General features: G+C 33.4%; 1 protein-coding gene across 6 annotated transcripts in view; it reads right to left on the bottom strand.

Annotated features, from left to right (window-relative positions):
- Positions 1 to 21213, bottom strand: part of PHYHIPL (phytanoyl-CoA 2-hydroxylase interacting protein like) — a 74174-nt gene that overhangs the window by 3797 nt on the left and 49164 nt on the right. For all 6 annotated transcript variants that reach the window (XM_017016783.3, XM_011540276.4, XM_011540275.4 and 3 more), the window contains 3 exons: positions 9474 to 9670; positions 7317 to 7491; positions 5269 to 5386 (listed from right to left, as the gene is read on the bottom strand). In XM_017016783.3, the coding sequence (XP_016872272.1) occupies positions 5269 to 5386; positions 7317 to 7491; positions 9474 to 9638 (458 nt within the window). In that variant the 5' untranslated portion in view covers positions 9639 to 9670. The remainder of the gene's footprint in view (positions 1 to 5268; positions 5387 to 7316; positions 7492 to 9473; positions 9671 to 21213) is intronic.

Below are 21213 nucleotides of genomic sequence, written 5' to 3'. Positions count from 1 at the left end.
ATCTCTGACTACTGCTGCTGCTGGATGAATTCCTATTCCCTTTCATTCCCATGAAGAGTAAAACTTTTCAAGTCTTGCTAGTGCTAGTTCTTGGTTCCTTTAGCATCCCCTATTTGTTACCGTAACCCTGACTACACCTCTATGAAGGGGTAGTTTTGTTAAATTCTCTCCAGAATTCCCCAAGTGTGCTGCCTTCTTTTTTTTGTTGTTTGTTTTTTTTTGCTGGGTCCCTGACCAGCATGACTTGGGAAGCAAAGTTCAAGCTACTACTCAAGTAAGGGAAAGTTCCCCCAGTCAACATGCTTCTTAAAGAGTTTATGGGTCAGTGAAATGCCTGGATCTGCCTCTGAATTTAGCAGCAATGGGTCTCGAATTCTACCACCTGAAAACCACCTAGGGAGCTTATTAAAAATGCAAATTCAAGGAAAGACCAAAAAATTGTCACAGTTAAGAGAATGAGGAAACACAATAAATAAATGTGTGATATCCTGGATGTGACCCTATACTTTTACTTGTACTGTGCTTTTTTCTTTCTGATGTTCCAGGTTTCCTTCTTTTATTATTTCCTTCCTTCCTGTTTCAGAAACTTCCTTTAGGATAGATATGCTGTTGACAAATCCCCTTAGTTTTCCTTCATCTGAGCATATCTTAATTCCCTTTTATTATTGAAGGATATTTTCACCGGATATAGGATTCTCAGTTGACAGTGCTCGTTCAGCATTTGAAAATATTGTGTCACTTTCTTTTGCTAGGTAATTTCTGATGATGATGTCATTCAAATTGTTTTATTTTTCCTTATACATAAGGTGTCTTGTATCTCACCACTTTCAATGTTTTTTTTTTTTCCTTTGGCCTGCAGTTTTCAGTTTGTAATATATCTTGGCATGGATTTCTTTGGGTTTATCCCATTTAGGGTTTTCTCAGCTTGAATCTGTATGTTTATGTTGTTTGGCAAATTTGGGAACATTTCGGCTATTAATTCTATGAATACTTTTTCAGCCCCACCCTCTTTGTCTTTTCCTTCTTGACTTTAACAACATGAATATTAGATCTGCTATAGTCTCACATGTCCATAAGACTGATATATATTTTTCGGTGAGTTTTATCTCTGTTGTTCAATTTGCGTAATTTCTATTCTATCTTCAAGTTTACTGATTTTTTTCTCTTTGTCCTCTTGAATCTGCTGTGGAATCCATGGAGTCTATCCAGCTTTTGACTTTACTTACTGTGTTTTTATGTTCCAAAATTTTCATTTAATTCTTTGTATCTTCTATTTCTTTGCTGCTTCCGTTTTTATGTGTTTCAAGTGTGTTAGTATGTGCTTCTTGAACCATTTTTATGGTGGCTGCTTAAATATCTTTGTCAGATAATTCCAAGATCTGCATTATTTTGGTTTTTGTATCTTTGATTATCTTTTCTCATTCAGGTTAAGATTTTCCTGGTTCTTGGTGTGATACCTGAGTTCCATTTGTATCCTGGACATTTTAAGTTTTATGTTATTATATTCTGGATCATATTTAAATCTAGCATTTTTAGCAGGCCTCCTCCTGACTATCTACCAGTGGGTGAAGAGTATGGGGTAGTCACTTCATTGATGTCAGATGGGGCTAAAAGTCCAGGTTTCCTACTCAGTCTCCGGTGACACAGGGTAGGAGGGTCAGTTACTACTTGGAGGAGGTAGGAGTTTAGGCTCCCACTAAGCCTGTGCTAACATACTCTAGATCAGAGAGAGAAGGGGTGTCTCATTAGTACTTGACATGTGGCTTCACACACTATGAGGGCAAGCCTCATTTTCTTTGGGCAGTGGTGGAAAATCCAGGCTCCCTATTCAGGCTTCTCTGATACCACCCTAGCAGAGGATGGAAGGAGAAGGGTGTCCCCTTACAGATGTGAGAGGATAGAGGTCTAGGTTCCTCACTTAGCCTTGGCTGGTACATGAGGGACTACGGTTTGTTTGTTTTTTTCCTATACTGTTTGCCTGGGGTATGGTGGTTATTGTCTAAAAGGTTTCTGTATTCAAAGTCATCTCAGTCTCTTTCCCAATCCTGTGGGTAAAGGGAACATACTTTCTGGTGTTCTTTATTTCTTTTTTGTCTGTGCTCATTGGCACAGACAAAAGAGATATCTTTGTATCCCATTAACATATTGAAGTGCTCAATAATGACTGTTTCTTGAGTGAAGAGTAAACAATAGATAGATGTGGGCGAAATAAGGAAAAGAGAATCTACCCATCTTGTCCCTGTTCAAAATTTCTCGCCCTTGTTACATTCTCATTAACAAAATCCAAATATCTATGATATGTGTCCTACATGGATCTATAAGTGCAATTACATGAAATAATAACAGCAACATATATATAAACAGAAAATATGTACTAGAACCTACACTTTGAGGATATACAATTTGACACCAGAGGTAGAGGAATTCCTACACATGTCTACCAATCTCAGTGAATTCCTGAAACCCTTCAGATATAAAAGGAGTTTTAAGGACAATTAGACTACCTAGTGAATATGAACAAGAGGTAAGAAAGAAAGTGGTGTTTTCATTTGGAGTATGGGAAAGTAATGTTCATTTAGGAATTCATTTCTAGAGGAAGAGGTCAAAATGAGTTGATTTCTTATGGACTGAGTAAGTATTTATCCAGTTTTTCATAATTCAAAATGGATTATAAACTTTGGAAAGTGTATCCAGTAATTAAAAGTTTCCTTTCTATTCAAGCATTCTGAATAACAAGATGATATTTAAAATGGATTTTAATCAAGGAAATGTGTCTTAATTAGAGTTAATGACAAAAAGAAAATCAACATCCATGGAATTTATGTCTACTACTTTTTAATAAGGCTTCTTAAAAAAGCAATGTTGAAAAATTATACCACTCTGTGGAAAGTATATTTATTTATACGTACTGCACCAAGACATATTTTACATGGATTTTATAACTATCATTATGGAAAACTTAACAAAGGTAAATTTTCTTGTTAGTAAACACAGCTTTCATACTGGTAGCTGGGAGTAAAATCATGCAATATACACAATAATTATCCATTTTCTAGGCACTCTGTCTTTATTTATTTATTCTTGGAAGCATTTTTGAAAACAGATGAAGCAAACTTTAGATTACTAAAGGACCTAAAAACAAAGGCCAGTTCCCATCTAAGGGACAGAGAAAAATCACAGAGAGATACTGCCCTCCAGTGGCCACCTAAAATAGATATTGGCAATGTTCCAGGAATATAAACCTAAAATCAAAGATGTAATTATTTATTCTTTTGATGTATTTCTTACCAAAGACAACAGAAATATGGAGGGGTTTTTTTTGTTTTCAAATTTTATGCGTAACAAATACAGACAGTCCCTGACTTATGATGGTTTGGCTTACAATTGTTTGACTTTATGATGGTGTGAAAATGATGCACATTCAGTAGAAACTGTACTTTGAATGTTGATCTTTTCAACACTTTTTTTTTTTATAAAATAGACTTTCTGTTAGATAATTTTGCCCAACTGTAGGCTAACGTAAGTTATCTGAAAATGTTTAAGGAGGCTAGGCTAAGCTATGATGTTTTGTAAGTTAGGTGTATTAAATGAATTTTCAACTTGATATTTTCAACTTACAATGGGTTTAACAGGACATAACCCCATTGCAAGTCAAGGAGCATCTGTATAAAGAAACACCTTCCTTGCTAAGTCTATATGGTCATTGCCAATCCACAACTGACAAGCACAATAATTTATGTTATATCTATCAGTCTGTACTCTCTAAATTAGGTGAATGGTATCTACCAGGAAATATATGGACTCTAGGGTATATACCAATTGAGAAAATGAAGGACTAAACTCTGTATTTATAAGATATTCAAACAAATGGCAGGAATATTTTTTCACCATCAAAATATATAAAAATACATTCTATTGCTAAGTACTTAATTTGAAGAACACAGATGCCTACGTGTGTTCTTCTCTCTCTGATTCCTGTTGCATTTTCCACAGCTTGAAGCTGATTTAAATCTGGAACCATGGTCTTCAAACAAACAAATACAAAGAACACAACAAAGTTTCCTAAATATTTTTCATACATAGTCCTGTCAACTTAAGATGCTTTAGAGTCTGAAGTGAAGCTTTTAAAATGATAAATTATAGGGAATGCTGTGTAAGAAGTTTTACAACCTATATAGCATTTGCCATTTTAAAAGCCTTAGTGAGACTAAGGCTTTTAAAACACAAAACAGACATCTGGCTATTTATTCTCTTCAAATTTTCTTCTACAAATATGAAAGTGCTGTAAATATAAAAACTACCTGCAGGATAGAGTTCTTTTAACTTCTCAGGAACTGCTTCCAGGGATAAACATAGGCTATCTTAGAAATTCTAGTAAAATCACTAGAATTTAAAAGTAAACAAAGGAGATTATCCTCATGATAATTAATTCAAGATAACAGCTGATATGTTTTGGCTGTGTCCCCACCCAAATCTCATCTTGAATTGTAACTCCCACAATTCCCACATGTCATGGGAGGAACCCAGTGGGAGTTGATTGAATTATGGGGAGGGGGAAATCTTTCCTGTGCTGTTCTCATGATAGTGAATGAGTCTCATGAGATCTGATGGTTTTAAAAGGGGAGTTTCCGTGCACAAGCTCTCTTTTTGCCTGTTGCTATCCATGTAAGATGTGACTTGCTTCTCCTTGCCTTCCACCATGATTGTGAGGCCTCTCCAGCCATGTGGAACTGTAAGTCCAACAAACTTCTTTCTTTTTTAAATTGCCCAATCTCGGGTACATTTTATCAGCAGCCTGAAAAACACACTAATACAACAGCTAAAAGACTTCTACTTAGGTAGAAGTCTGCAAATCCCACCTGATTCACCATAATATTTCATTAAACAGTCACTCTTTTATACTCTCATTTTCAATGTCTTAAAAAGACCCATGAAAAGAGGAAAAAATTAGTAGTCAGTATGATGCAGACAGCAGGACGAGTGTGTACCTGAAATGCTCATCGATCTAAATACCACAGGTTTAAGATCCTCTAGTCAAATGGGCAGGAACTGGTATCACAAATGATTATGGAAAGGAATCTAAGTGAAATAGAAAAAAATCCCATGATCTTTTTCTACTTAATTTTTCTGGAAAATAAAATTCCATATCGTTATTTTGAAAAGAAATCTAGAATTGCTATTCGACAAAACTAGAGTCAAGGGAAACCTGAGCCTAGAATTTGAAACTATATTTAGTAAAACAAATCACTATATATTTTTGAATCTTACCGAACATAGTCAAAATATTCTTTGTGCTGATTACGATAAAAAACAGAAAACTTAAGCATGCGTCCTGCAATCACTTCAGCCTTCTCCAACAATTGTGTTAGATGAACTTTTGAATAGTCTGGAAAAAACCCAAAAAGTCTGTTATTAAAAATATTGCACCAAAAGTACCAACCATATACTTAATAAATTGAAGATTATTAAAATTCACCTCTAGGGAATTCAACTTAATAAATAGGAAATTCCATTTAAAAAAGAAAATATTCATTGTCTGTGTGGCACATTTTTCTTCCTACAAAAATATTTTTGTTATGGTTTATGGTTGTTTCTTAGAATACCTTTGCTTGCATTTTTCCATTTTTTGAAATTAGAGATACTGAAACAAAAATTAAGTTAAATAAATTTTCATAACCCAAGTAATATCCATTAGCACCATACTAGCTTTTCTTCAACCAGTTGATAAACTGAATAAAAGAAGCTTATAATCTGCAATCAATAGAAAAGTTGGACAGCAAAAATAATAATGAGTACATAAGACTTGGGTACACAAGATGCTTGAAACTCTAAAGCACCTGTCAAAGTAAATCTGATTTTTTTTAACCCACTTTTTGTTTTGAAAGTTGTTTAAGAATTGCTGTTTAACTCCTACACCAGAAACTAGGGAAACATTTTGGCCTATAAAGATTAGTAAGAATTTCTAAACAGAAGAAACCTAGTTAAATTGCTCATGGCAACATAGTTTGTTTACTCACTGCTTCATTGGCTCAATAAACAGGTACTGAGATTAGAACATATGATGTAAAAGGTACTATGCAAAATTAGATGATCAAGTTAAAAGATAAAAAATATATTATTATTCCTTGCAAAGAACTGACAATCTAAGAGAAGAGATAAATATATGTACAATAATGATTTATTATGGTAAGTATTAGCATTTTAAGATTGGGATAAGCACAGGGTTTTAAACCCTGTCATAGGCTAGAAAAGAAGTAGATTAGCCTGTGGCATTCTATTTTATTTTATTTCCAATACATTGTACAGTGCCTAGCTCACAGTATGGGCTTAATTAGTTTTGAATGAATTCGATGTTCAGATTAAAAGTCAACTTACACAAAATAGCTTTATCAAAACTTAGAGTCAAGGTTATTGACAAAGCTTATGTGAAAAGTCTAAATTATTCTGATAAACAAGAGCTTTGAACAGCTTAAGTTTCTTGTAGATTCAGCCTCTGTCTATAGTTTTTTATAGGAAACAGTCATCTTGATGAACAGGAGGAAACAAAGTTTCTTTCTAAAAGACAAAAGGAAAGGATGACAGGAGTACTCAGGTAGAGATATGGTATCCCATTAACACTGAAGTGCTCAATAAATGACTGTTTCTTGAATGAACAAGTAAACAATAAATATATGAGTGAGATGAATGGTAATGTTTCCAATCTAATGGAATATTAAGGTTCAGTTCCACATCAAACCTCCCAAAACAATGGCTTTGAGGTACTTTCGAGTGAAGCAAAGACACACATATGTATACAGGACACTAGTTTAGATGCAGATTTTCTTAAGGTCTTCTAGTACTCCAGTGAAAAATCTAGTAACATTTCTGCTAGGGACAGTCACTGAGATCTGCCTCCATTCACCTGAAATAGAGAAGGATTTTCCTAGTTTCTGTCTTTCAGTACTGGTGAAAATGAAAAAGGAAAAAAAAAAAAAAGGAGAAAAAAGCTCTGTCTCTCAAAATGAAGCTAAAAAATTATGCTGAGTATATTTTCAAACTGCATACCTTTTTATTTGCATAGCTTTCATCTTGAAGAAATCAAACTATGGATATAGAAAAAAATGATTTGAAGCCATTACTCAGATTTTTCTACTGAGAACTTCAGCTTCCTCCAATCAATACAACATTGTTTATTCTGTTACACAATGCTACTGACAACGCAAAAAATGACCAATGTCACATATATCACTTTATAATTACAAAAAAGAAATATTTTTCTATAATTAGCTTTCCCAGAACAACTAAAGCTTTTCTATATTTGTACCTAGTTCTCTTACCTGCGGTGCAGAATTCTATAATTTCACTCCATTCAGACACAACATAATCACCATCAACTTGTTTTGAGGCAGTCTGCACTGCTACTGTATATTCAGTTCTTGGGCTTAAAAACCAGTGTCCACGGACAGTCATAGGCAAGGGAACAGCTTTTGCCACCAATTTTGTGGGAACATCCTAGGAATGAAAGAAGGAAGAGAGAGAGAAAAATGAGGGGAGACAGAGAGGGACGAAGGAAGTGAAGAAAGAAGAAAAGGGAGAAGGGAGGAAGGAGGGAAGGGAGAAGGAGGGAAGGAAGAAGGGAAGGAGGGAGGGAAGGAAGGAGGGAAAAGGAGGAAGTTAATTTAGTAGTATAACTTTAATCAACTGTAAACAATGGAGAATAACTTATTAAGTTCCTGACTGACAATAGAATTTTTCTGCTTAAAGATACTTAACAATTATTATATTTAAATCTCTTATTTGCTATATGCAAAAACTAAGGCCCAACTTTATCAAGAGACAAGTTCGAGGTCATACAGCTTGTTAATAACATAAATGTACTTGGATTCCAGTTTTCTTGATTTCTAATATGGTGTTCTTTTCTGTATACTATATGCTCCTCAAAATGCAACATTCTCATACTAAATGACAAAACTTTAAAAAACAGAGACATAAAAGATAAAGTTCAATAGTATTAAAAATATTATATTTGGTTAACTTATACTACCCAATAATTTCACTAAAGCTGCCCATTACTTGATATTTTACAGGTTAAAGGAGAAAACACTAAAAATATGAATTTTTGCTTCACTTTCATTCAAATATAGAGTCTATGTGTCACAGAAAAGTTTACGTATTTCTAAAAAATGCTTAGTAAAGTGATTAATTAAATCTGCTAGTTGAATATTCACTACATTTCAAGGATATGGTATTCCAAGTGGAGAGTGAAGAAAAAGGGTCAAATCTCAAACAATTCATCATTTAATGTTTGAAATTTAAGATTTCAAAGCTATATCAACAAGGCAAATGTCAGCAAAGAGAATATCCATCACTGAAAGCATAATCAGAACTGGAACTCAGAAAAAATAATGACTGCTCAATCTTGCTCCCTCTTTCACACTTATCTGTAGTATGTATGATCCTCACTTATCTTTAGTATGTATAATCGCACATCTAATAAAAGCAATATTTCTAGGTAAGGTAAGAAAGTTCCAAAGTATCTACCAAGTTAAAACTTAATATCAATATTAAAAAATAGACCAGATTTTCATCATCAGTGAAAACACTGCAACATAAGAAAGAATGCTTAAAGCAGATAACTGTTAATTTCTCTATAGATACTTCTGGAAAGAGAGATATATCAGAAAAGATATATGATATGTGAATAAATATCAGAGAAGTGTTATATATCTAAAAACATTTAAAAGTTAATAATTTTCATTCTCAAAACTAAAAAGCAAAAGACAAAAAAATTTCATTATCAAAACAAAAAACAAAAGGCAAAAGACAGCAGACTACTTAAAGCAATTTTTAGCCCTAAAGTGTTTTTAAAATACCTTGAAGTTTATAAACTGCATCAGATTCCTTGTTTGGCAGTTATAGAAAAAAAAGTGTGCTTCAGTGGAAAACTATGCATTGCACATAGCACCCTCTTCTGGCCATCTGTCTGTGTTATGGAAGCCATTTTACAATTCTGTAATTTGTAGAAACTAGTAACAATTCAGTTCTTCTTGTCTAAATACATACAAATAAATTATGTTCAGTGGAGGACAACCCTCCTCTTCACCCCTCCCATCAGGACTTCCATACCAGTTTACACCTGTATCTACAAATGAGTCTTTTCTTTGGATTTCCCTTTGAACTGGTTATAACACCTCATCGGTTTCCTCGTTAATAAGTTAAATAAAATCTTTAAGGTAAACTAATTTTTACATCTAGATGATAGTCATGATTTTACCTTTTTTTGAAAATTATCTTCTAACAAAAAGCATGGCATTTCATTTTCTTACAAAACTTATTAGAATGATAGGGTTTTAGAGTTACATATAATCTTTATTTTTTCCCAAGTCAAATACATCACATAAGCCATTAATAGAATATTATTCGTTCTTTTAAAATGTCCTCATACTTAGAAAGTTTTAAGATGCAAATTAGCATGAGTATTTGTTAGATTTTACCTTGTGTTTAAATTTATTGGAGTTCTTGTTCTCTTTCTTGTTGAGGTCAATAAAATAGTGTGTAATGCGATCCTTTGATTTTGAATCCATTTCCCATGAAATCTTGAATGAGTCACACGTTATATTGCTTATTTTGATGTTATGTGGTACAGGAAGTTCTTCCATCTCTGCTATGCCACTGTCTTGTGATTTGTTCCCTGCAAGAAAACAATGCACAGGAAGTTAATTTCCAATTAATGGATTTTCCAATTTATTTCCAATTAATGGATTTATTACCAATAAAAAGTAGAGATGACTTACTCCTTATCATCTTTACTTTTTCCATTTATGTTTCCAATTTGTTTTCACAGAGTGAACACAAAAACACTGACACTCTATCTTTCTAATCTATGACATGTTAGTTTTATATGGTTAGGTTCCCTCTAAAAAACCTCAAGAGCCTATTTTTCTACATGACCAATCAATTTTGCTCTAAAGTAGTATCAGGTGTTTTAAGCCAGATAATTTCATAGACATGTTGATAATGAAAGGGCCCATCCAAATGAAGGAAACATTTCTTTAAAAGTCCATGACCTAGCAGTGACAGTCTATAAAAATTCCCCCTCCTCTTTCATTTTGGAAGCATTATATAGAGAAACAGCATGTAATGGTTTTACTACATATACAAATAATACTGAAGACCGTTCACTTACAAGTTACTATGTTAAGGATAACTCTAGAAATGTTTTATCTGTGGAACCTTGATGAATTTAATTTTGAGAGCTGAAATAACAAATAAGGCTAAAAGAAAAAAGATGACTGCCATAGTGACTGATATTAAAATCTTGAAGAATTTATATGACAACTAGTTACTTTAAAGATTACACTTCCACTTAGGGAAAATGCTAACAATTTGGCTAACAGTATAGAGCAGGATTTGATGGATCATAGGACAAAAAGAAAATACAAACATGTCAAGTTTGTTTTACATATAGGAAAGACATATTAGAATCAAATTTTACCCCATTTTTTTCTACATTCCCTTTCCCCAGGCCAACATAATGTTCAATGCCTCAAGAGAGAAAAAAAAAATGTTATTCAAATAAGAAAAAATGTTAGGCCATAAATCAATTACTTAACTCGTTCCTTAACATAATAAAATGTTATTCAACAAAAAAACAACAGTGAATGTTCACCTTGTGGTAATACCTTCCATTTCCAGATTAGATTGTTTTCTCCTCCCCTACATTTCCATGACAGTCATTGATACAAACTTTTTGACAGTTCCCAACTTCATTAAATCTTTGACCCATGTTGTCTCATCTGAAGCTGCGTTGTAGCCAGAGGAACTCAAAGGCAATCAAAAACTAATTTTAAAATAAGTTATTTGATTTTATTTCTTGAACAATACTTTTAAAAATCCTTTTTTCTTCTCCTATGTACTTTCTTCACAGTCCCATTTCTCCACATTTCCTCTCCACAAAACTCCTGGAAAAACTACTTCACCTTTACTTTCCTCCCCATCAGGTCGCATAGAATCCCCAAATTACTTCTAGCTTAAAGCTTTTCAAAAGTTAAGAACAGGGAAGAAATCAAGTGAAATCCTTATAATGGCCTTGGGAAAAGGAAAGGCAAAAAACACTCAAACAATAGCAATTAGTAATTTTGTACTATTTTGAAAAGCTCACATTTCAACCCATTAATCTGTCCCACTTGTCTTTAAACATCAGTAATAGTAACGAAAAACTTTCTGAACTCTGATAGTAGAATTTTTGTAGAAATCATCTGCATTATAACTATGTCCACATAATTTCACAACTGAGTGAAAAAAAATAGTTACAATTGTTATTTAGGATCATGTAGATAAAAATAAAGCTATTTTGCATTTGATTCAATTTAATGGAAACACAACTTCAATATAGTAACACTATCTAAGATACTATTAATATTTTTTGCATTTAAACTTCCACTATCGTTATCTTCTTCAACCTTAAAGTCACAAATGATTATTTCACAGAACATAATACTTTGTTTTTTGGATTTTTTCATTCTGATTGTTAAAATTCGAGAGAAAAAATGTTACTGTTATTATAAGCGAAAACCTTTGCTCAAATTATATTTTTCCCATTGGGAACAATATAAAGCTCAAGCCTAGAAAGAATTTGTTATATTAAAAATCTTCATTTTCAAGCTACTCATCACAAAACCACTAGATTAACTAGTTCTTAACAAAACCACTAGATTAACTTTTATGCAACTTTCTTACTTAGGTAGTCGTAATTTTCTGATTTTGATCATTATACTTTGGTTGTGTAAGAGAATATTTTTCTAATGAAATATACAATTTAGTGTTTAGGAATAAAGTGCCATCCTGTTCAATTCCCACCTATGAGTGAGAACATGCGGTGTTTTTGCCCCCCATTGGTAATAAATGTTTCAACCTATCCTCTTTCTCTCACAGTACTTTAGGCATATCTTAGATTGTAACACATAGGGTTTTCATAATTTTTAAAAAAGAAATTCTGTAATTTCAGTTTTGTTTCCTCTTACACTCAAGACTTTATTAATAGAACTTTTCCCCCCAAGGTGGAGGTACATTTTAATTTTTTTATTTTGCTATCAATTTCCAGCTTTACTTACTGCATACGATCGAAGTGTTGTCTGTAATTGTTCTACTTTATGAAATTTAGTGATGCTTTGTGAATTAATATTTGATTTATTTTTGTGAATGTTCCATATGTGGTACATTCTCTACTATCAGGGATTAAAGGTATAGGTATAAATGTAGATAGAGATAGATTTGTAAGATCTATCAATTAAATTCTTTAGTATGTTTTCCTCATTTTTGTCCATTTTAGCTGTCTCGGACTGAAAGTACTGTGTTAAATCTTTTATCACCATGATACTTCAATATCATGTGTCCTTCCATCTCCTATAGCTTCTGCTTTTAAATGTGAGTGCTTTATAACTTGGTTCATAAATATTAAGTGCTGTACTTTCACTGTGAATTATGGCTTTTATCATCTAAAAGTGTCTTTCTTTGTGTTTTTGGCTGGAATTCTTGTCTGGTTATCAGGATGGCAACTCCTGCTTTCTTACTTCTATTTGCTTTGCATAGCTTCTCTCCTTGACTTTTTTTAGCCTTCTGAATCACCACGTTTTAGGTATCTCTCTTTTATAGAGCAAACAGTTGGATTTTTTTCCTTGAGGGGCAAATTTAAAAATGATTTTTCTACTTATAATAGGTGAATTAGGCCTGTCTACATTTACTAATATTACTGATGTTTTTCTCAAATGTATCATATTTATGTTTCAATTACTGTGTGCATTATGTTGTGCTTGTGTGTCTTCCTCTACCTGGGTTTTCTTTGGTTTACTTTTCCTCTCATTTCTTTAAGTATTTAGGAAAAAAAATTGTTTTTTTCTTCTAATGTTTACCATGTATTTATATTTTTTAAAAATGTGCTTTATCTCCTGCTTTCTTATTTAACCCTTTACTGCCTGTGACCTCAAGTCTGATAAGAAACATTTATAATCTATTCTCTCTGAAGCCTGTTACTTGGTGGTTTCATCTGCATGATAAAACTTTGGTCTCCACAACCCCTTAGTAATCCAGATATTTCTTTCTACAGATAACTCTTTCAACAAATTGCCAATAAGAAAAATTTTAAATCTACCTATGATCTGGAAGCCCCCCCGCCATGGTTTTAACTGCCCTTCTAGATAAAACCAATGTAAATATTACATGTATTGCTTGAAGAATTATGTCTCCATAAAATGTATAAAAGCAAGCTGTACCCTGACCACCTTGGGCACATGTCGTCAGGACCTCCTGAGGTCACCAGGGCATCATTAACTTTGGCAAAATAAACTTTTTAAATTGATTAACACCTGTCTCAGATACTTTTGGGTTCACAGGTACAAAGCTTAAGATACAATTTCATTAAAATGTATCCCCTCACTCTCAGTTCAAATGTGACTTTTAAACATTTCAAGAAAGCAATTTTTGGCCAGCTCAGTGCCTCGTGCCTGTAATCCCAGCACTTTGGGAAACTGAGGCGGGCTGATTGCTTGAGCCCAAGAGTTAGAGACCAGCCTAGGCAACATGGCGAAACACTGTTTCTACAAGAAGTGCAAAAAATTAGCCAGATGTGGTGGCACATGCCTGTAGTCCCAGCTACCTGGGAGGCTGAGGTGGGAGAATCACCTGAGTCTAGGAGGTCAAGGATACAGTGAGCTGTGATTGTGCCACTGCACTCCAGCCTGGGGGACAGAGTAAGACCTTGTCTCAAAAAAAAAAAAAAAAAAAGAAAGCAATTTTAAAATATTTCATGTATTTAGGAAGATGCATAAGCACATATCATAAGCTCTGTATCAAGAGAAACTTGAAAGGATTTAGACTCACTAAAACATTTTAAGTGTACAAAAGGATAATAAGCCCATTTTACACCTACCTTCAAAGTCACATACCTCAATCTATGCATAAAAAAACCAGTGTTGTTGTGGTGAATTTATGAATTTCTATGTATCAGTAAATTATTGTCAATATTGTTAAAGCAAACTAAATATGGCCTGAGAAAGACTCCATAATTCTATATTTGAGTCCTTGTGGATGAACTGAAACCTAACTTAATAGGTAAACAAGACTGAAAACCTAACTAAGAGTATGCGCCTGTAACAATGGCTGAGTCTTGGCCAGTCCCAGCAGCCATACTTCAACCACTCACACACTGCTGAGTGTTCAAACTGTTCAAGTAACGCAAATGCTGAGCAGTAACCAATCCAGTTGTTTCTGTACCTCACTTCTGATTTCTGTATGTCACTTCCTTTTATTTATTTATTTTTTTTGTCTATGAATTTGTTCTGACCACATGGCATCCCTGGAGACTCTCTGAATCTGCTGTGATTCTGGAGGCTGCCCGATTCACGAATCATCCATTGCTCATTTAAACTTTAAATTTAATTTGGCTGAGGTTTTTCTTTTAAAAATATATTCTATAAATTATCTATTCCGTAGTAGAGATTACTCACACTTCCATATTTTTTCTTTTCTTCCCCTTCTCTCTCAAGAATTAAAAAGTCGATTTTAAACAAACACTACTAATTACAATTATTATTCTAATTTAGGGCCATATTACACAATAGAAATCATTCACCATAATAATTCTCTTCTCGTTATAGATGTATACATGTGTATTTACCTGATGAATATACAATATACACATATAACCACATAATATTTCTCTTTTAATAGCTTCATACTGAGACAAACTAACTATCAAAGTTCTTATTTTAACTAAATTCCTTAGAATCTGAGATTTGTAAAGTATTTACCTCTATGAAAGATAAATCAGTAAAAAAAGTTACTTGGCTTTCAAGATTACTGCATGAAGTGGATACCCCAATTTGATTAATCCAAAAAAGCAGTTTTATCTGAAATAAGAATTAAAATAGTCTCTTAATAAACCAGATGTGCTCTGGCAAATACTGTAATAGAACATATCTAACTTATTGAAGTCTTCCTTGTTTTGATCATATTCTGGGCACCATTGCTCCTTAGTCCCACCAGTTTTGCCTTGAAAACAATGAATAATTTTTCTTCTACATAATATCTTTCCTTGAGTGCTACAATAAAAGCCAAACTAAAATCTTAGTTACAGTAGCTAAGAGGGCCTAAATGACTCCATCGAAATAAAGAGTGTTTGCAAAGGTAATGATGGTAGTTAGTTTAAATAATAAGCCTTAAGCCATTTTTCTAAGAAACAAATTGTAGGTTTTAGGTTCACCTCCCTTAAAAGTAGCAGTCAAGAGCAACTTTCTCATGTTTTATTTCCTTCCTAAAGTTTTAGTGATTAAAAAGCCTCTAACAAAGAATAGATACAACTATTTTATAATTGTAATTACGTGTATGTGTGTTTAAACAAATGTATGTTTTAATAACTTCCATTACAAAGTCAGAGATGCAGTATGCTGAGGGAAAACTGCTTTCCTCTTCATTAAAAACAACTTTGAAATATTGTAATACTTTAAAATTCAGTGAAAGGAAAACTAATTAAGATAGTAATAAAACTCAAAATAGTAACCACAACAAAACACCAAAACTATTCTCTGCTTTACAATAAACTCTCAAAATAAAAATACTCTTAGTGGTAACATTGAACATTGTTGGAACTTTTAGGAAAAAACAAATATCACTTTATTAATAACATTTACATATTGTTTTGTAACCTATTTTTTATTTAATAATTTATCATGCACATTTTCACATGGCTACATATAATTGCAATCTTTTTGTATTCTATTCTATTAATCAGTCATCCATTTAGATTGTTTCCAGTGTTTTCCTGCAATAAGACTTTAATCAACACTATTCTAAGTACATTTGGGGGCATATCTATTTTTTTATCTTTGAAGAAATCCCAAGAAGTGCAAATGTTGAATCATATTGGTTTTTACCAATCTGTATTCCCAATTACAGTTTTAGGGTGCGCATTTTTTGCACCCTTACCAATTCTATATACTGTTATTTAAAACATATATATATATCTCAATAGGCAAAAATTAAAATCTTATTTTATCTTAGAAGAGCAAAAAGTGAATCTTGACCTAAACCTCCCATTTTACACAAAAGTTAGCTCAAAACAGATCAAAACCTGTAAAACATGAAGCAATAAATGTTTTAGGGAAATAAAAGGAGAAAATCATTGGGAACTAGGATTAAGCAAAGAGTTCTGACTTAAAAGCATGATTCACAAAAGGAAAACTATTCAGATACTCCCCTTATTTTGTTTTTGCCTTCTTGAGGTTTTCTTCTACCATTGTGTTTCAGCTAATTTCTCCTTATGTGTCTCAAATGTTTGCTTTACATATCTTGATGCCATAGTGTGAGGTATATGTACTTGAGAGTTATGTCTTCATTAGGGATTACAGCTTTTTAAATTAAAAATGACCAGTTTATCTTACTTAATAAGTATAATATATTGCTATGGTTTGTCCCCATCAAAACTCATGTTGAGGCTTGGTCCCCAAGGTGGCAGCATTGGGAAGTGAGGCCTTAGTGGGAAGTGTTTGAATCATGGGGACTCTGCTCTCATCAATAGATTAATGCCATCTCATGGGAGTGAGTTCTCACCCTAGCAGAAAGCGGACTAGTTTCAGAGAAAGAGTGTCGTTATAAAGTTAGCCCAGCCTCTAGTGCATGTTTCTTTGGATGTTTGCTTGCCTTGCTTCTCTACCACACTGTGACACAGCACACGACCCTCACCAGAAGCTAGCTAGGTAGAGGCCCTCCACCTTGGACTTCTCAGCTTCCTGAACTACAAGAAGTAAATTTCTTTTTTTAATGAATTACCCAGTCTTGGGTATTCAGTTATACCAACAGAAAATAGACTGAGACCTATATTAATTACATCTTGAAATACTTTTGCATCCTGCTTTATTTTAATTTGTATGCATGTGGAATAATTGTTAGTTCTCCATCTTATTTCACTTTTTGCTTTAAATCTTTTTAAAGTAACTTTTTAGGTGCATCTTTTATATTGGCTAAATTTGAGTATTTTTGCCTTTTATTAGGAGTATTTAACTTACATTGCTTCTTCTTTTCTATGAGATATTATTTTTTACATTCCTTGTTTTTCCTTAGTTTCTGTCTTTCACTATATGGACGGTATTTTCTTTGAAATCTCTTTTCTACCGTAATTTGGAAGTTATAAATCCCATCTTTTACTAGAAGTTATTTTTCTCCAATATCAAGAGTGAAAAAATACTTATCAAACCTTCCATATGTAAAATGAAGAAACTGAAATACTTTTACTTTTAATTTCTCATGGCATACTTTAAGATTTTAGAGCAATTTTTAAATTTTTATTAAAAAATGAACTGCATTCCCTAGCCCAGGTACCTCTTCCCTATAGGACACCTCTGCCAACACTTTCTTAAAGCGGGGTAGGGTGGATTGGCTGAGGCATTTTTCTCCACTCTAACTCCTCCTTAGCAATGATTCCACCACCACCACCACCACCACAACCATTTTCATTACATCCACCTGACTCCTGCCTGGTGCAGTTCTGTGGGAAGAAATTAAACACTGGGGCCTTCTTTTTGTCTCTTGCTTGTATTGTTCCGATACATGAATAAAGGCTTGATTATTCAGTTTGGTTCTTTGGGAACCACCAGTATCTGTATATTGGATCTGTTTCTGTCCTCCATGTATATCATCATTTATTTTCATCTGTATCTTTTCCTTTACATTCTGAAAGAAAAATTCTAAGTGTTTCTCCCATCTCTCTGATTTTCTTCCAGTGTGGCTTCCACTCTTTGCTACTAATGGAATTTTAAAATTAGTATAACATTATTAATTTTCTAATGTTCTCTCCTGTTCTCAATTACGTCTCTTTATATATTAGTTTATTATCTTAACTAATCTTTCATCTTTGTTTCATTAAACCCAATCTTGAATTTTATTGAGAACACAAATCAGAATCTATAAAATTTAGTTTTACTGTTAAAAAAACACAGAATTGTCATTTTTCTGACTCTTATTGGTAAATTTTCCTCCACCTATTTCTCTGTAGAATTGTTTCATAGATAGGTCTCATTTTGTTTTTTCTTAGGTAGGTCTCATTTTGTTTTTTCATCATATGGAAGACCTAGAAACTTCTTGTTTTTAGGTCTAGCATAGGATTGATGGATCCTACTTAAATCTCCTCTTTTCCTACAAGAGGATGCTATTAAAATTTTCCTCTTAGATTTTAATCTGAAGGGGTAGTTACATAAGTTTCATTTTTCTAGTTAAGAGACTTTAAAGTCTGTGAAGAGAAAAAAGAACTAGAGATATGGAGAATCACAGCAAAGAAACTTCATATTAGTTTATTCTCTTGGTTTGGTTAATCTACTAATCAGGGGCTGGCTTTCTACTACCAGTATTCTGCCTGGTCTGACTTTTTCTTCCAGTTACAATTTGTAACTAAGTTTGAATTCTTCCCTTGAATTGCTGATTCCCATGGAGAAGTGTCTTACCACTTTAGAGGTAAGCCTCATTACCATCAGGAGATAAAGCTTCACTTTCTGTGGCCCCTAGCATATCTGCTTTCAATAATTATTAATCCATGGCAACAAGGAAAATTCCAAGTGAAGTTGCTAGCTGTCCATCCTTCACTCTATCCAATCACAGGGTGACAGCACAGATCTTCCAAGAGCTTCTTTACTATTTTTCCTGCAATACTGTGTGATTTTCTGAGGAGGAGGAGGAATACAAACTTTTACAATGGGATTCCATGGATAAATTATATGACACATATTACTCAGGGAGTATAATGTTGATGGAATCCTTACATAAGTTTTATTGTTAAGAAGAGTTTTCCTCTATTTTCATTTCTTACTCATTTTGGCCCAGGTCTTATGGAGGGGATAGTTTGATGCTCATGCCCAAAAGTACCATCTTACTTGGAAATTCTTTAATATATATTAAGAACAGTAAGTTTTTTATCAGACTTTTAAACTTTTCATCCTTTTTGGTTTTTTAACTTGACATTTCTGGCAGCATTCACCAGATTATTCTTATGCAGTTTATTATAATATTAGTAGATAAGAGTAAATAGCAGAGTTACTATTTTTATGTTATAGATTTATATACTCCTCTTTCTGAGTATGGCTTTAGAGGTCTAGTCAATATTTCTCAATCTTTTCATTCAACAGACTACCAAAATTTCAACAAAAATAAGAGAATTGTTTTGATTTTGTGAAGAGCAAAAAGAAAACCATATTCTAATTACAACGTAATTTGAAAAATTATATTTTAACATCAAATGTAGAAATATTTAATTTCAGAATAATACAATGTGTTAAAGTGAATAAATTCAACTTTATGAAGAACTCACTAAATTTTCTGGATTTGTCTAATTTAACAGAAGGCCAATGAAAACTTCTCTATGACTTGGCACTAGTTCCAAGAACTGATATTTTAAACCCTTTTGATATATAGTTCAATTGCTCTTCTGTTTTGTTTTGTTTTTTGTTTTGTTTTTTGTTTTGTTTTGTTTTGTTTTGTTTTGTTTTGTTTTGTTTCCTTGAGACAGGGTCTCACTCTTGCCCAGGCTGGAGTGCAGAGGCACAATCATGACTCACTGCAGCCTCAACCTCCAGGCTCAAGTGATTCTCCTACCTCAGCCTCCCTTGTGGCTAGGTAAGACTCTTCTCCATGGGCATCAAAATCAGCAAAGGTGTAGGTTAACATACATTTTTCTTAGAAGCTCATTCAATTTAACTTTAGACTTTAGGAATTAATGAATTAATTAAACAAGTCTAAGACCCAGTACCATGTGAAATTATACATTGAGTATTTATTATCCATATAACATAACATTCACCCGTATAACACAATATTCAAACTAGAAGCCCAACAAGAAACTAAACTGGGAGAGAGCATGATATATAGTAACGGAAAAGTCCATGGACTTGGAAGAAAAATATAGATTTGCATGTTTCTTTAATTACCTACTTTTTATTCACATCATTTAGTCTCTCTGAGCCTTAGCTTATTTATCTATAAAAAAGGGCAATTGGGCTGGGTGCAGTGGATCATGCCTGTAATCCCAACACTTTGGGAGGCTGATATGGGAGGATCACCTGAACCTAGGAGTTCAAGACCAGCCTGGGCAACACAGTGAGACCCTGTCTCTACAAAAAATCCAAAAATTAGCTGGGTGTGGTGGCATGCACCCCTAGTCTCAGCTACTTGGGAGGCTGAGGTGGGAGGATCACCTGACCCGGGGGAGGTCAAGGCTGCAGTGAGCCATGATCATGCCACTGAACTCTAGCCTTGGTGACAGAGACCCTGTCTCAAAAAAAAAATAGTTAAACTGACTTATGTTTTTAATATCATTGAACTCAGTTATTTTTATTATTTTTATTTTATCATCGTTATTCATATTTATTTACATTATTCAGTGGTTTCCCATCCATATGTGTTTTACAGATTTAAGACCACTACAATTATGGATATCCAACTTTCAGAACTAAAGTATGCTAGGAACTGAGGATAAGTATCTTAGGTATTGAAATAAACAGACAACAAGGTGTGGGACTGAGGTATAATGGAAAGTAAAAATTATGCTACCCTGCACAAGAAAGGTAGAAATAGGCTGGCATATTAAGATAGCACTCAAAAGAGGGCAAAACATAGATGTTATTCAGGAAAAGACAAGAATGAATTGCAAGACTGATCCAAGAAGGATCGAACAAAGTTAAAGAGCAAAGTAATAGAACCCCATGGGCAGATCTCTGAATTAAGCCAAAGGCCCGTACAAATTTTTAAGTTTAATTTACAGTAAGGTAAACTGCATTTGTTTGGAAACCTCTGAACATTTATCACAAATTACATACCTCCATTATGCTAATATCCCAATGAATTTCCTATGTTGATAGCTATATCCCACATACATAAGTACACAATGATTAGTTACAGAGTGGCTAAGAGCACCTACTAGTCAGACAGACATGGGTTGGAATTCTAGCTATGCTACATGGAGTTGTTTGACCTTGAGTAAATGTTAACAATCCTGTAAGCCTGTTTCCTCATAGGGTAAATGAGTATGAAATGAGGTTATGCAGCCACATAAAACATCTAATACATCTGGCATGTAGTAGACAATAAATGTTATATGATTTAACAATGCACTAATATAAAATGCAATTATTAATTCACTCTATCCTTGGTCTAATTAATGCATAACTTTTCTAACTCACTCCAGAACATCAGTGC

The sequence above is a fragment of the Homo sapiens genome, chromosome 10, assembly GCF_000001405.40.
Source record: "Homo sapiens chromosome 10, GRCh38.p14 Primary Assembly".
NCBI lineage: Eukaryota > Metazoa > Chordata > Mammalia > Primates > Hominidae > Homo > Homo sapiens.
The sequence above is the reverse complement of the archived record's forward strand: the minus strand, read 5'-3'. Positions and strand labels throughout refer to the sequence as shown.